This window comes from Homo sapiens, chromosome X (assembly GCF_000001405.40).
Source record: "Homo sapiens chromosome X, GRCh38.p14 Primary Assembly".
NCBI classification, from domain to species: domain Eukaryota; kingdom Metazoa; phylum Chordata; class Mammalia; order Primates; family Hominidae; genus Homo; species Homo sapiens.
Window position 1 is genome coordinate 46,696,268 of NC_000023.11, and position 15,006 is coordinate 46,711,273.

Consider the following 15,006-nt stretch of genomic DNA (forward strand, 5'->3'; position numbering starts at 1 on the left):
GAGCGACTGCGCCCAGCCTCTCCAACTTTAAAATAAAGAAAACGTCAGCTGGACCACAAACCTAAAATATTCTTAAAGCACAGACGTCCTTAAATGAAAACCCCCTTCCCACTCCCCAGCCCTGAAAAATTACAGGTTTAGCGTTACAATACATGAAAGCTTCTACCAACCAGGTGCTTAGGAGCAACCAAAAAATAAATCAATAATTCTATCCTGTGAAAGTGATTAGATATCATAATCCTGGTTTTGCTTACTAAACATAGCTCACAATCACTGTTTTCTTCCTTCCTTCCTTATTTATTTATATATTGATGAATTAATATTTCTTCATTCGTGCATGCATTCAAAAAATATTTGGGTACCCACTATGTGTCAGGCCCTATGGTAGAAACTGGACATATGGTAGTGAAACATATATTCTGCTGTCATGGAGTTTACAATCTGAAAGAGCAGATAAACAAAAACAATAGTGACTGCTAGCACCATGTGCCAGACACTGTTCTAAGCATCTTAGGCATATTAACTGAGTTAATACTGACAACAATCCCTTGAGTAAGGTACTATGACTATTCCTATTACATTGCTGAAGAAACCAAGGCAGAAAGAGAAACAGGACTTTGCCCAAGGTTACACATAGGTCACATGCAAACGAAGGACCTGAGATTCAATCCCAGGTTGTCTGGCTCCAGAGTCCCAGGACTGGTCATGGCCAATGTGCCAATCCACCCCAACCGTCTTTCGCCTGGACTTCTTCAGTAACCTCCTAACTGGTCGTGTCGATGGAGTGACTGTGGGAGATCATAAACAGGGAGGAATTAATGATGACTACCAGGTTCCTAGCTGAAGCAATTTGGGATAAGAAGGTGACTTTTATTAAGACACATAAAATGCTACATTACAAAAACTGAATACAATTTTGAAAGTGGTCAAAGGATACAAAGTTTCAGTTAGGAGGAATAAGTTCAAGAGATCTATTGGACAACATAACTATAGTTAATAAAATGTGTTGTATTATCAAAAATTGCTAACAAAGTAGCTTTTAAGTGTTCTCACCACAAACAAGTGAAAAGTATGTGAGGTAATGCATAGGCTAATTAGCTCGAGTTATGTTGCGGGAAGTCAGGGACCCCAAACAGAGGGACCAGCTGAAGCCACGGCAGAAGAATGTGGATTGTGAAGATTTCATGGACATTTATTAGTTCCCCAAATTAATACTTTTATAATTTCTTATGCCTGTCTTTACTGCAATCTCTAAACATAAATTGTAAAGATTTCATGGACACTTATCACTTCCCCAATCAATACCCTTGTGATTTCCTATGCCTGTCTTTACTTTAACCTCTTAATCCTGTCAGCTGAGGAGGATGTATATCGCCTCAGTACCCTGTAATAATTGCATTAACTGCACAAATTGTACAGCATGTGTGTTTGAGCAATATGAAATCTGGGCACCTTGAAAAAAGAACAGGATAACAGCAATGTTTAGGAAACAAGAGAGAAAACCTTAAACTCTGACCTCCCGTGAGCCCGGAGGAACAGAGCCATATTTCTCTTCTTTCAAAAGCAAATGGGAGAAATATCGCTGAATTCTTTTTCTCAGCAAGGAACATCCCTGAGAAAGAGAATGTGCACCTGGGGGTGGGTCCCTGAACTGGCCCCCCTGGGCATGGCCATCTCTTATGGTCGAGACTGCAGGGGTGAAATAGACCCCAATCTCCCATAGCACTCCCAGGCTTATTAGGAAGAGGAAATTCCCGCCTAACAAATTTTGGTCAGACTGGTTGATCTCAAAACCCTGTCTCCTGATAAGATGTTATCAATGACTAAGGTGCCCAAAACTTCATTAGCAATTTTAATTTCGTCCCGGTCCTGTGGTCCTGTGATCTCGCCCTGCCTCCACTTGCCTTGTGATATTCTATTACCTTGTAAAGTACTTGATGTTTGTGACCCACACCTATTCACACACTCCCTCCCCTTTTGAAACTCCCTAATAAAAACTTGCTTGTTTTTGCGGCTTGTGGGGCATCACGGAACCTACCGACACGTGATGTCTCCCCCGGATGCCCAGCTTTAAAATTTCTCTCTTTTGTACTCTGTCCCTTTATTTCTCAAGCTGGCCGACGCTTAAGGAAAATAGAAAAGAACCTACGTGAATATTGGGGCAACTTCCCTGACAGAGTTAGCCATTCCACAGTGTATAGATATTTCAAAACATGTTGTACACAATACATACAATTTTTGTCAATTAAAAATTTTAAAGTACATGGGACATAAATATATCATAATAAAAGTTTGTCATTTATGGACTGGTTGTTCTCTCTCCCAAGCCCGGGAACCCCTACTGCATATGGACACCCAGCCTGTGAAATGACTTACACTTTGGAATAGTTTAGCTATTACCATGGATTTATATTCCAGTGCCTAAACACCTTTGTAGTGCTGAGACGTGATCTTTTAAGTATTAAGAATTAACATATTACCTTTTCAATAATTTCTTGGGGAAAGGGATTTGCGTACATTTTTTTCACTCCACTTTGTTGGACAGTAGGCAGAAATTCATCCTTAAAAGGGCTCAGAATCTGGAGTGTGGGGGAGAGGTAGCTACTGATAACTCTTGACAATACAATAGAAAATCTGTGACTCACCAACCTGGGAATAGTGCTGCTCTGACAGTGGCTGAGTTTAATTAAAGAAATAACCTGAGTCAATCGCTCTTCAAGACAAAAGTTCTATCTCATCCCCTTAGAACAATACACTAAAAGAGTGAAATTCAAGCCCATCAGCCAAGAGTTTGACCTCCAATCCAATGCCCCTCTTCTTCAACAGCTGAAATTCCAAAGATTTAACTCAAACCAAGATGGAACAAGTTCATGTGATTCAAAATACACCATCAATTTTAAGTAGTTTCCTCATATACAAAATGTTACAGTTAGTAATAAGAGGGGGAAATGATTTTAGGTCTTATATACTACTTAAGAAAACTAGACATGGAAAATGTAGTTATATTGCGCCATGAAGCTCTTGGGTGAGACACCAGGAAGAACTTGCCATCGTTGCTGTGCTGCACAGCATTTCTCTATGGGAGACCACATACCTTCTTCTGATAGTCTTTGCAAAAGAACATGCCCATTCTAATGTTGAATGGAAGAGGTGCTCATTGAAAACTAGAACCAAGGAGGAAGACTTGGGCTTCACAACTGAACTTTTTACTGAGTTCAATATGGTATCCAAGTGTAGGTTGATTATACTTGCCTCATTCTAGTTGGGGCCTGTGCTAGCTCAATAGTCCCAGGACCTGGAGGGATTATTGCTGCCTATTCCAGGACTACGGTCTCAAGAAGTCAATTGTTGCCACATACCTAAGCCATACTCTACTAGCTCTGCCACTAATAAATGAGACATTGGGATTGCTACCCATCTGGCTCCTTTATCTCCCAACTGCTTCAGTTTGGTAGAGAATTTAGAGTATCACTAGTTAGACCCCTCAAGTCCCAACAATATGGAGGGGCACCCATACGTACTCTTAAACACATTTTCTTTAAAATGCTTCTAAAATAAAATTCACAGGCCATGCACAGTGGCTCATGCCTACAATCTCAACACTTTGGGAGGCTGAGGTGGGAGGATTGCTTGAGCCCAGAAGTTTTAGAACAGCCTGGGCAACATAGTGAGACCTCGTATCTACAAAAAAATTAAAAAATTACCCAGGCATAGTGGTGTGTGGCTACTCGGGAGGCTGAGATGGGAGGATCACTTGAACCCAGGAGTTTGAAGCTTCAGTGAGCCGTGATTGCACCACCGCACTCCAGCCTGAGTGACAGCGAAACCTTGTCTCAAAAAAAAAAAAAAATCACAGATATATTTGAACAGAAAATAATGGGAGGACAGCAGATGCCTGGGTTAGGTCCAAGGCCCTTTGGAATTATAATATCAGCTTTCTGTTTTAAATCAGTTGTATGAATATTTGTTTCTGTCCCACACTCTGACATTTCCCAAAATCAAGGACAGTGTGCCTGTGGCTGAGGGATCATTTAACACATTTTTATTGCTGTTTTGTCTATTTCTCCCTTTAATTAAACTTATTAATCAAATCCAAGTCAGTTACCTAAGGACTGGATTAAAAAGGTTACTACAGATGAACACAAACTTTCCTGACCTGTTTGTCACTCTTTAGAGACCCAGGTCAAGATTTTCAGCTAAACATCAGCTACGCTTTGAAATAGATTAATCAGTTTTTCCTCTGAGCTTCTGCCGGGGACTCTCTTTCCATTCTCTCCTCCGTAACTATCTTCACCAGGTTAACTCTTAACCATTCTTTAAGTCACAATGTACACATCACTTGTAAGAACTCAATCATGCAGGTACACTGATCTTGGACTTCTGGCCGCCAGAACTGTGAGGAAATAAATTTCTCTTCTTTAAGCCGCCTAGTCTATAGTATTTTGTTATGGCAGCCCAAGTTGACTAATACACCATCTTTTTGGGAAACTGCACATAGCTTCTCTAGACCATCAACAACATCCCTATTGCTAACTCAGATCTCACCTCCCAATTAGTAAACATTTCTTTTACAGATGAGAAGTTAAGGTACCATTGCTCTAACACAGGGTCCCTAACCCTTATTCCAGATATGTTTTTAAGTTTCTTTTTCCCTCTTCCCACACCACCATCAAAATGAGCTTTTTTGATCTTCCAAAGGAGACTTCTGACATATAACCTCCTGACATGAACTCCACTTTTGTAGATGGTATTATCCTAAGGCACTAACCAAGAAACTACTTAACTTTGGTTCTCCCTGATTAAAACTGATGGGGCCAGATGGAAGATTAATTTTCACTATGCTCTTGAAACATCACATATTTTGGGGAGATGCTGAAAATATGTTATGTTTAGAAGTTTTATCATAGGCACACAAGATATAATTTTTACTTAGATGACCAACACAACAATTCTTAAAAAGGGGGATGAAAATTTGAGTTCAAATTAATTATCAAATATACTAGTAAGATGCTTTATCCCCTTAAAAGCTCTTATTATGGGCCGGGCGCGGTGGCTCACACCTGTAATCCCAGCACTTTGGGAGGCCGAGGCGGGTGGATCACGAGGTCAGGAGTTTGAGACCAGCCTGGCCAGCATGGTGAAACCCCATCTTTACTAAAAATACAAAAAATTAGCTGGGCACAGTGGCACATGCCTGTAGTCCCAGCTACTCAGGAGGCTGAAGCAGGAGAATTGCTTGAACCCAGCAGGCGGAGGTTGCAGTGAGCCGAGATCACGCCACTGCATTCCAGCCTGGGCGACAGAGCGAGACTCTGTCTCAAAAACAAACAAACAAAAACAAAAAGAAACCCTTATTATGAAATATATCAGCTACATGAAGGACTAGATATAGTACACCTCAGGGGCAAAGTATACCATAATTGGGAAGGAATACATGGGGGGAGTGGTTCAAAGGCACTGGTAATTTTCTGTTCCTCAAGCCGGGCAGTGAGTATGGACATGCTTATTTCATTTTTTTCTGCATATAAGCTACATATACTATTTTGTATATTTAATATATTTTACAAGAATTTATCAGGATAAAAATGGTCTACTGGACATCTGGGTGTCCACCACTCAGCTTAATCAATAGCACATTACCAAGAGAGCTAAGCATCCTTGGTATCCCTTCCCACCCAAGTCCTTCGATTCCCATACCCCATTCTCTGGACACTGCTAGACTGAATTTGGTGTTTACTGTGCCCTTAGAGTAGTATTACAGATATATGTTGTTTAACTTTGCATGTTTTAAACTATATATGGTATGGATTATTAGGTAACCTGCCTTTTTTCTCCCCATAATACACTTGTGAGAGTCAACCAGATTGACACATGGTTCTGGTTCATGTGGTCTCACTGCTGTGTAGTATTTCAGCATATGGATACATTTTCTTTCTGCCTCTCTGTGGCACTTTCTGGATAATTTCTTCAGATCCACTGTTCAGTTCACCAGTTCTCTTTTCAGTTCTGTTTTTAAAAATATAATTTCAACTTTTATTTTAAATACAGGGGGAACATGTACAGGTTTGTTACACAGGTATACTTGCATGATGCTGAGGTTTGGAGTATGGATCCTGTCACCCAGGTAGTGAACATAGTACCCAACAGGTAATTTTTCAATCCACACCCCCATCTCCCCCTCTCATAGTACCCAGTGTCTATGGTTTCCATCTTTATGTCCATGTGTACTAATGTTTAGCTCCCTGTTACAGGTGAGAACATGCAGTAGTTGGTTTTCTGTTCCTGTGTTAATTTGCTTAGGATTATGGCCTCCAGCTACTTCCATGTTGGTGCAAAGAACGTAATCTTGTTCTTTTTTATGGCCGTGTAGTATTCCCTGGGGTATATGTGCCACATTTTCTTTATCCAATCCACTGTTGATGGGCACCTAGGTTGGTTCCATGTCTTTGTTATTGTGAATAGTGCTGCAATGAACATATGAATGCATGTGTCTTTATAATAGAACAATTTATATTCCTTTGGATATATACCCAGTAGTGGGATTACCAGGTCAAATGGTAGTTCTAAGTTCCTTGAGAAATCTCCAAACTGCTTTCCACAGTGGCTGAATTAATTTACATTCCTATCAACAGTGTATATGTGTTCCCCTTTTCTGTGCAGCCTTGCCAGCATCTGTTTTATTTGACTATTTAATAACAGCCATTCTGACTGGTATGGAAGGGTATTGCACTGTGGTTTTGATTTGCATTGCTCAAATGATCAGTGATAATCAACTTTTTTTATATGCTTCTTGGCCACTTGTATGTCTTCTTTTGAGAAGTGTCTGTTCCATTGTCCATTTTTTAATGTGATTATTTGTTTTTTGCTTGTTAAGTTCCTTACAGATTCTGGAAATTAGACCTTTGTCAGATGCATAGTTTGCAAATATTTTCTCCCATTCTGTAGATTGTTTACTCTGTTAATAGTTTCTTTTGCTGTGCAGAAGCTCTTTAATCAGGTCCCACTTGCCTACTTTTGGTTTTGTTGCAATTACTTCTGAGGACTTAGCCAAAAAATTCTATGCCAAGTCTGATGTCAGGAAGGGTACTTTCTAGGTTTTCTACTAGGATTAATATAGTTTACATTTAAATCTGGTAGTCTAGTGGTTAGGATTCAGTGCTGTCTTTTCAGTTCTTTATCTTGAGTTTGTAATTTCAATGAATATATTGCATTTCTTGGAATTCGATTTGGTTCTTTCTCCAACATGCTTGACTTTCTGTTTGTTAGCAGAATCTGAACTAAGAGTTGAATATATTTACAACCCTCAGCTCTGTAGTCTGGCTGTTGCTCACTTATTCCAATCTACATCATGGGATAGGCGACACCACATTATTATAAAAGGCCTAAATGTCTCCTCCAAAGGGTACCAACTAAATAAACTGTTGTCCACTCACATAATGGAGTCTATAGCCATTACATTAAAAAGAATGCAGCCACTCTACACACATCCTATGCATTAGGTGGAAAAAAGCAAGATGAAAAACAAGTTGCATAACATGTTACCTTTTGAGGGGAGATAAAAATCTATCTCAGGTTTATAAATGTATCATAATTCCGTGGAAGGGCATTTACAAGAAAATGTAACAGTGGCTCTCTCTAAGGAGAGGACTTGTGTGGCTGAGGGTCAGAGGAAAGATAGGACTTAACTGTCACTGTTGATCTATTTGCATTTTACAACATGTACAATATATATTTCCTATTAAAAATGAAAATGACAGCTAAATACTAAAGTAAGCCATGCCATTTCCTACTTCTCCATTCTTGGCGCACACTGTCCACTCTGTCAGGTATGTCTCCTGAGCTCCACCCTCCCTACCCTGTCTACTTGATCAGTTCCTATTCACCCTGCAGGACCACCTGTGTCACAAAGTCAACCACTCTTTTCCCTGTGCTGTCGTTGCCTATACAACTGTTACTGCACGTCCTCCTCATGAGACTACAAGCTCCACTGAACCCAGCACAATGTCTGGAATGTGGTCGTCACTCAACAGATGTTTGCTGAAAGAATGAAATAATGAACATCAAAAACTGTAATCTGAGCACAAATAATAGTAACAGATTATATACACATAAAGTGTCAATTCTCTTAATTGTGGACATAATGCTTTTCTTCCCCCTGCAATTTATGTCTAAGTTTTGGCAGGCAACAAAACAGTATCTGGAAAGATTAGAGTTTTGTGTTTTTGCTGAAATTTCCTGAGTCATGAAATTGGTGTCTGGGACACAAGGAATGCTTCATATCACATACCCAGTGATATCCTTTATGCATTTACAAAGACAGAATAAAATCTAATTATATACTGGTTTTAATTCAGCCTAGCTCTAAACTATGTCATTTTTAATAGGCTGCTTAATAAATTTATTTTAAAACAGAACACGGAGTGGAGTATCTAGAATAGGAAATCTGTTATTCATCCTCCTAAGAGTTGTACCCAACTGGTGGACCCTGTATTTCAGGAGGGAAGGTCTCTGTGCTGAGTGCTAAGGAGACACAGGCCTGGCCGGGACACAGTATCTTCCCTCTTGAGACACACACAAACACACAAACACACACCTGTCCTACCTGCCAACACACTACTGACAATAAAGCCAACCAGGCTGTAACAACCACCACAAAACAGAGGCATAAAAAGGCGACATAGCAGACAACAGAATGAATAAGTCTTTCAGATGAAAAAGTTGTTGAGGAAAACTTCACAGAAAAGGTGACTTCACAGTTGGGCCTTTCAAGATGAGTCAGACTTGTACAGAGGAAAGAGGAGGCGTGAAGTATATTTCAGAGAAAGCCCTTAGCATGAGGTAGGAAAGTGCACATTAGATACAGTGGCATGGCTGGAGCTAGCCCACACAGGGGAGAAAGGGGAAGGGTGGAGACCAAATGTCAAGCAGGGAGGTTGGCACAAGGAAGATGGCCAGCCATCCCTTTAAGCCAAGCTCATGAGATAAGACTTTATCACACAGGAAACAGAGGCCACATAGACTTCTGGACTAAAAAGGGGTACAATCAGGACTGACTTTTAGAAGATACCATAGCAGTACAGAGAATTGACTGCAGGAGAGAGAGGCTACAAGTACAAGAGCTTTATCAAGCTTTCCTGGAAGCATCATACCTCCCAGGGGAAAAAACTTAAAATCACACCTCCAATTAAGAAGATCTTGGCTGGGTGTGGTGGCTCACGCCTGTAATTCCAGCACTTTGGAAGGCTGAGGTGGGAGGATCACTTGAGTCCAGGAGTTTGAGACCAGCTGGGCAACATAGGGAGACCCTACATCTATACAAAAAATTTAAAAAATTAGGCAGGAGGATTGCTTGAGCTCAGGAGTTTGAGCCTAGCCTGGGCAACACAGTGAGATGTTGTCTCTACAAAAAAATTAAAAAATCAACTGAGTGCAGTGGCATGCACCTATAGTTCCATCTACTCGGGAGACCGAGGTAGGAGGATCACTTGAGCCCAGGAGTTTGAGGCTGCAGTGAATCATGATTGGGTCACTGCACTACAGCCTGGATGACAGAGTGAGACCCTGTCTCAAAAGGAAAAAAAGAGAAGATCCCTACATTATCCCATATTCCTCTACCTCTTTCTTTTGTTGAAGTGCTGGTTATAGTTCAGGTTCACACAAATAGATCCCAAAATGCTCTGAAAAGTTTTACACCCAAATCTACAGATTAAGAGAGATTTATGAGACACAGAGACATATCAACCAAATGCTGTTGGAGGGCCCTTAGTTACATCATAAATGAAGCTTAAAAAAAATCAACTGGGGAAATGCGAACTCACTGGATATTTGACAAATATCACAAAATTACTATGGTTTTTAAGGATGGATAAGGTATTGTAGCTATATTTTTACAAGACTGTCTTTCAGAGATAAATATTGAAATATTTACAAATATCAGGTTGGTGCAAAAGTAGTTGCGGCTTTTGCCATTGAAAGTAATGGCAAAAGCCGCAATTACTTTTGCACCAACCTAATAAAATGACACGACATCTAGAATTTGTGTCAAAATCACCTTGACATGGGAAGAGGTAGCTGGAAGGTATAGATGTAATAAGACGGATCATGAGCTGGTAATTAACAAAGCATGGTAATGGGTACATGGGATTTGGTTTATTATACTATTGTCTCTACTGTGTTTGAAACCTTCCATAATAAGAGGTTATATTTTAAAAGTCACTCACCCAGCAGGAACTTTAAAGGAGCAGTTCTAGCAACTGTAGGTTGAGCACAGAGTTCTCCCATGGTGTTCCACAACCTACATCTAAACCTCTGCTTGCCATCTCTCTGACACCTCTAACTCAACAGATCCAAGAGTAAGTCTCTCTCCTCCCCATCAGTGTTGTTTCTTCTCTGCATTCCCTGTCCCTGTGAGAACCAGATACCTGGGAGTTATCCTTATGTCATTCACCTGCACTGGAGGCATCTAGGTTCTGCCCAGGGGCAGCCATTCTTCTCAGGTGAACTTTTTATTTGTTCTTTCTTTCTTTTATTCTCCATGATCTCAGCTCACCACCACCTCCGCCTCCCAGGTTCAAGCAATTCTCCTGCCTCAGCCTCCCGAGTAGCTGGGATTACAGGCACACACGACCACACCTGGCTAATTTTTATATTTTTAATAGAGGTGGGGTTTCGCCATGTTGTCCAGGCTGGTCTCGAACTCCTGGCCTCAGGTGTTCTGCCTGCCTCAGCCTACCAAAGTGCTGGGATTACAGCCGTGAACCACCGCACCCAGCCTCAGGTAAACTTTTTCTTTGACAGCTTCTTGCCTTCCCTGCATCCATCTCACACTCCTCAGTACTTTACCTGAAAACCACTGCAAGGATAGTCATTCTAAAAGAAACACCTCTGCTGGCTTAAAGGCTTCCAATGGCTCCTCGCCAGCTAGAGGACAAAAGCCCAACTCTTCAGCAAAGTAAGATCTGTTGATCTGATCTCTTTGTGTTTATAAGGTAATGAGATTTCCCTGATATCATCTTGGTGAATTCCGTTCTCACAAAGGACATGAAATCCATTTTAGAACTAATTAAGGATCTGACTAGTAAGTGGCACAGCCAGGAGGCATGTGACATCCACAGTGACAGTAGGAGATCACTTGAGGCAAGGTGGCCAGGCAGCCCCTACCAAAAAGCCCGCGTCACTAGCCAGCATCCTCTCAATTCTGTATTTATGCCAAGGTCTACTTGGCTGCCCTCTCAGGAAAGGGAGCCCAAGGTTCACATATTCATGGCAGCTGCCTGACTACATGGGCAAAATGTGGCCACAAAACAGAATTTTTCTGTGTGAGACTAAATAACCTAGTTAAAGCTCAAACTCAAATGCAATAAACTGGCCTTCTCCTTAATATCAGAGTGACAGCATCTAAGCAAAAGAATCAAAAGAGATATTAACCATAAAAAGAGGAGAGATTGAGCCAGGTGTGGTGACATGTGCCTTTATTTATTTGTTTGTTTGAGACAAGAGTCTCTTTCTGTCGTCCAGGCTGGAGTGCAGTGGCACGATCTCAGCTCACCGCGACCTCCACCTCTCGAGTTCAAGTAATTCTCCTGTCTCAGCCTCCCAAGTAGCTGGGACTACAGGTGCACGCCACCATGCCCAGCTAATCCTTGTATTTTTAGTAGAGAAGGGGTTTCACCATGTTGGCCAGGCTGGTCTCAAACTCCTGACCTCAAGCGATCCACCCGCCCTCAGCCTCCCAAAGTGCTGGGATTACAGGCGTGAGCCACTGCGCCCGGCCGACATGTACCTTTAGTGCCAGCTACTTGGGAGGCTGAGGTGAGAGGACTGCTTGAGCACAAGAGCTCGAGACCAGCCTGGGTAACATAACAAGACCCTGTCTCAAAAATTTTTTTAAAAAAGAAAAATTAAGCCACGAAAAATGATATACTCTGTGGTGGAAATAACAAATAGGGACATGAATCACCTTTATTAAAGGTACTCAAGGCCAGGCATGGTGACTCACACCTGTAATCCCAGCACTCTGGAAGGCCGAGGTGGGCAGATCACCTGAGGTCGGGAGTTGGAGACCAGCCTGGCCAACATGGCGAAACCCTAGCTGTACTAAAAATACAAAAACATTGGCCAGGCATGGTGGCGGGTGCCTGTAATCCCAGCTACTCAGGAGGCTGATGCAGGAGAATTGCTTGAACCCAGGAGGCAGAGGTTGTAGTGAGACGAGATCGCACCACTGCACTCCAGCCTGGGCGACAGAGTGAGACTCCGTCTCAAAAAAAAAAAAAGAGGTACTCAAACTAGGCTAGTAAAATACAAGTGGGGAGTGTTGTTTGGAGAATATGTCAGGCACTGACAGCAGAGCCCAAGCAAGGCGTTGTGTTCTAGCACCACTGATTATGTTCTTTCTTCCTTCCACATGCCTCTAAGTCACTCAGCCCCAAACTACAGGTTTTGTTTGCAGAGAAACGAAAAATGTCTTCCTGGTCTCAAAGCACTGATACCTAGTATCAGTGGGGGACAGAACAAAGAGAAATCTAGGATTGGTGATGGTAATCAATTCAATGACAACATAAACAATTGGTATCTCACCAGGTTATACATTCAACAAATATTTGTTGAGCAGCTTACCATATGCTAGGCTCTGGGAACATAAGAGTCAACAACAGGGACAAAAATCCTGCCCTCCCTTCATAGGGCTTACATTCTAGCAGGGGGAAAGATGTTTAAAAATAAGATAAATGCGTTAAATAGTATGTTGTAAGTGGTAAGGAGGAAAGGAGCTCAGGCAGTGTCGTGGGATGTGCTGAGGTAGGACAGTGGTACACTATCAGAGAACAAGGAAAGAAGTTCCACTGAAAAAGGCACTAAACTCGTGGTGACACATGCCTGTCATCCCAGCTACTTAGGAGGCTAAGGCAGGAGGATCACTTGAGCCCAGGAGTTCGAGACCGGCGTGGGCAACAAAGTGGAACTCTGTCTCTGTAAAAAAAAATACAAAAATTAGCCTGCTGCGGTGGTGCGCACCTGTGGTCCCAGCTACTCAGGAGGCTGAAGTGGGAGGATTGCTTGAACCCAGGAGGTCAAGGCTGCAGTGAGCTGAGATCACACCACTGCACTCCAGCATGGGTGACAGAGTGAGACTCTGTTCTCAAAAATAAAAATAAGTTCAGAAAAAAAAATTTAAAGGTACTAAGCTATCATAATACATAATACAACAGGCAGCTGCTCATCTTCTTTTCATTACATTTTCTGCCAGCAGTTACTTTTTTTGATGTTTTTAAAAACAAATGCCTACACCCATTACCTAAACTAACAAAAAAAGTTCAAAAAATGTTACCTAAAATAACAACAACAACAAAAAAAAACCCTACTGTATGTATAAGACTGTGTAAAGCACTAAAGGGGATATGCCAGAAACAGCATACAACAATTGCTATCCTCTGAGAGTTCATAGCTAACTGAAGGTGAATTCTACAAAAGCAAAAAAGCATCGTAAGGAAATTCCAGCAGCCATTCTTTTAGTTTATACTATAGCAGTGGGGTTCTCAAGGTTCTCCGGGGAACCATTAGGCAATGTGAGAAGGGAGGGCACCTCAACATCTAGGTGGGTGTTGATGGCACTCTAGAGCAACAGTGCCAACTGCGTTATTACATACGCTGATTTTAAATACAGCATGGCACATTCAGGCAGAAATGGCTCAACTGATGAGTGTATTTGTCTCCAGAGAAGACAATGGAATACATTTATCTCCAGGGAGAAAGGGAGGCCGGTTTTTCAGTTTGCCTTCTAACTTTTGAATTTTGTACTATCATATGTATTATCTTGTCCAACAACTACTTATAAAAGGAGTGACTTTTAGGACTGTATTGTAAGAATACATTCAGGACTGAATATAAAGACCTGGAAGCTAGCTGTGCACAAATGATCTCTAAAGCCACACATCAGAGAGCCAAAGTTATGTGAGCAAGGACTGCCCCTTAGGCACTTCCACATTTAGGTAAACAGAGTGAAAGCAGGGACAAGTGGGAAGACAGAAGGACTGCCATGTGACAAGAAGAACCGCATTCAGAAATACAACTAAATGCATCATGGAATGTACCTGGAATAGGGAAGTGGACAGTGAGGGCCCCCATAGATTTAGAGGTAAGAGAATGAAGGTTCCCTCAGTGTTAGCCAGCAAAATTGTCATATGTTGGATGTAACTGGCAAATTGAGGGAGTAAACCAGATGAGCTGTTTGTATGCCCTTAAGAGCCTGGGAATCCCCAAACTGCAATGTGACTCACCTGGAATGCACCTGAGATTCGTTTAGGGAAAACCCAGTCCATTCTGTGGAATCTAGTTTGAAAAAAATACTGTGGGAAAAAAAAGAGAGAGAGAGAGAGAAGAAAGGCTGACTCCAAAAGTCAGATGATGAGATCATGCATGTAACCACTGATAAAGGAAAGGATACAGTGGCTGTTAGTGGGGAGAGGTGGAGTCAAGGCTATTCCAGCAAGGAGATGGACCCATCAGGCTTTTCCAGTCTATTTATGAGCATACCATAACCAATTGCCTCTGTTCTTCCTCTGTCCTTTCTAAGCAACTTTCTGATGACAACCTGGGGTCCCCTGCTACTTGCCTACTCAGAAAAAAAATGCTCTGCTCAGCCTGAACATACATTCTGCTCTGCAACAGCCAAATCTCTTATCATAAATTAATCGATTGGCACTCTGGTTTAGCCTCAGGCTCTCTGAGCCTGATTAACGTGAGCCTGACCCCAAGAGACAGTCACCCAGGCTGCTGACGATTTCAGCTTTTGAGCCAGCAATGGCATTGTCTAGAGTCTGGGCAAATGGAGAAGGCCCCCTGTTGGGGCCTCTTGCAGCCTGCCAGCAACACCTGTGCCACAGGCCTTACCATCAAACTGCAATAGCATCTGTTTTCCCAGGTCTATTTCATAGCTCACTCCTGTTATGACAGCCATGGCTCTGTCCTCCACATTTGTTTTAAGGGTGAGCCACTATTTTCTCTTAA

At 41.8% G+C, this 15,006-nt stretch overlaps 1 protein-coding gene across 10 annotated transcripts in view, besides 4 other annotated features; it reads right to left on the reverse strand.

The window, feature by feature from the left end:
* SLC9A7 (solute carrier family 9 member A7) overlaps positions 1-15,006 on the reverse strand; it is a 159,868-nt gene that overhangs the window by 97,017 nt on the left and 47,845 nt on the right. The gene's annotated exons all lie outside the window — the stretch shown is intronic.
* Positions 7,905-7,974: a silencer, noted in NCBI's record as "silent region_20792". NCBI's record gives its function as "represses an Ori minimal core promoter by ATAC-STARR-seq in GM12878 lymphoblastoid cells {active_cell/tissue: GM12878}" and the evidence as "EXISTENCE:reporter gene assay evidence [ECO:0000049][PMID:35858748]".
* Positions 8,966-9,135: an enhancer, noted in NCBI's record as "active region_29572". NCBI's record gives its function as "activates an Ori minimal core promoter by ATAC-STARR-seq in GM12878 lymphoblastoid cells {active_cell/tissue: GM12878}" and the evidence as "EXISTENCE:reporter gene assay evidence [ECO:0000049][PMID:35858748]".
* Positions 9,196-9,285: an enhancer, noted in NCBI's record as "active region_29573". NCBI's record gives its function as "activates an Ori minimal core promoter by ATAC-STARR-seq in GM12878 lymphoblastoid cells {active_cell/tissue: GM12878}" and the evidence as "EXISTENCE:reporter gene assay evidence [ECO:0000049][PMID:35858748]".
* Positions 13,684-14,883: an enhancer, noted in NCBI's record as "BRD4-independent group 4 enhancer chrX:46569386-46570585 (GRCh37/hg19 assembly coordinates)". NCBI's record gives its function as "activates an origin of replication core promoter dependent on BRD2, P300/CBP, MED14 and CDK7 cofactors, and independent of BRD4, by STARR-seq in HCT116 cells {active_cell/tissue: HCT116}" and the evidence as "EXISTENCE:reporter gene assay evidence [ECO:0000049][PMID:35650434]".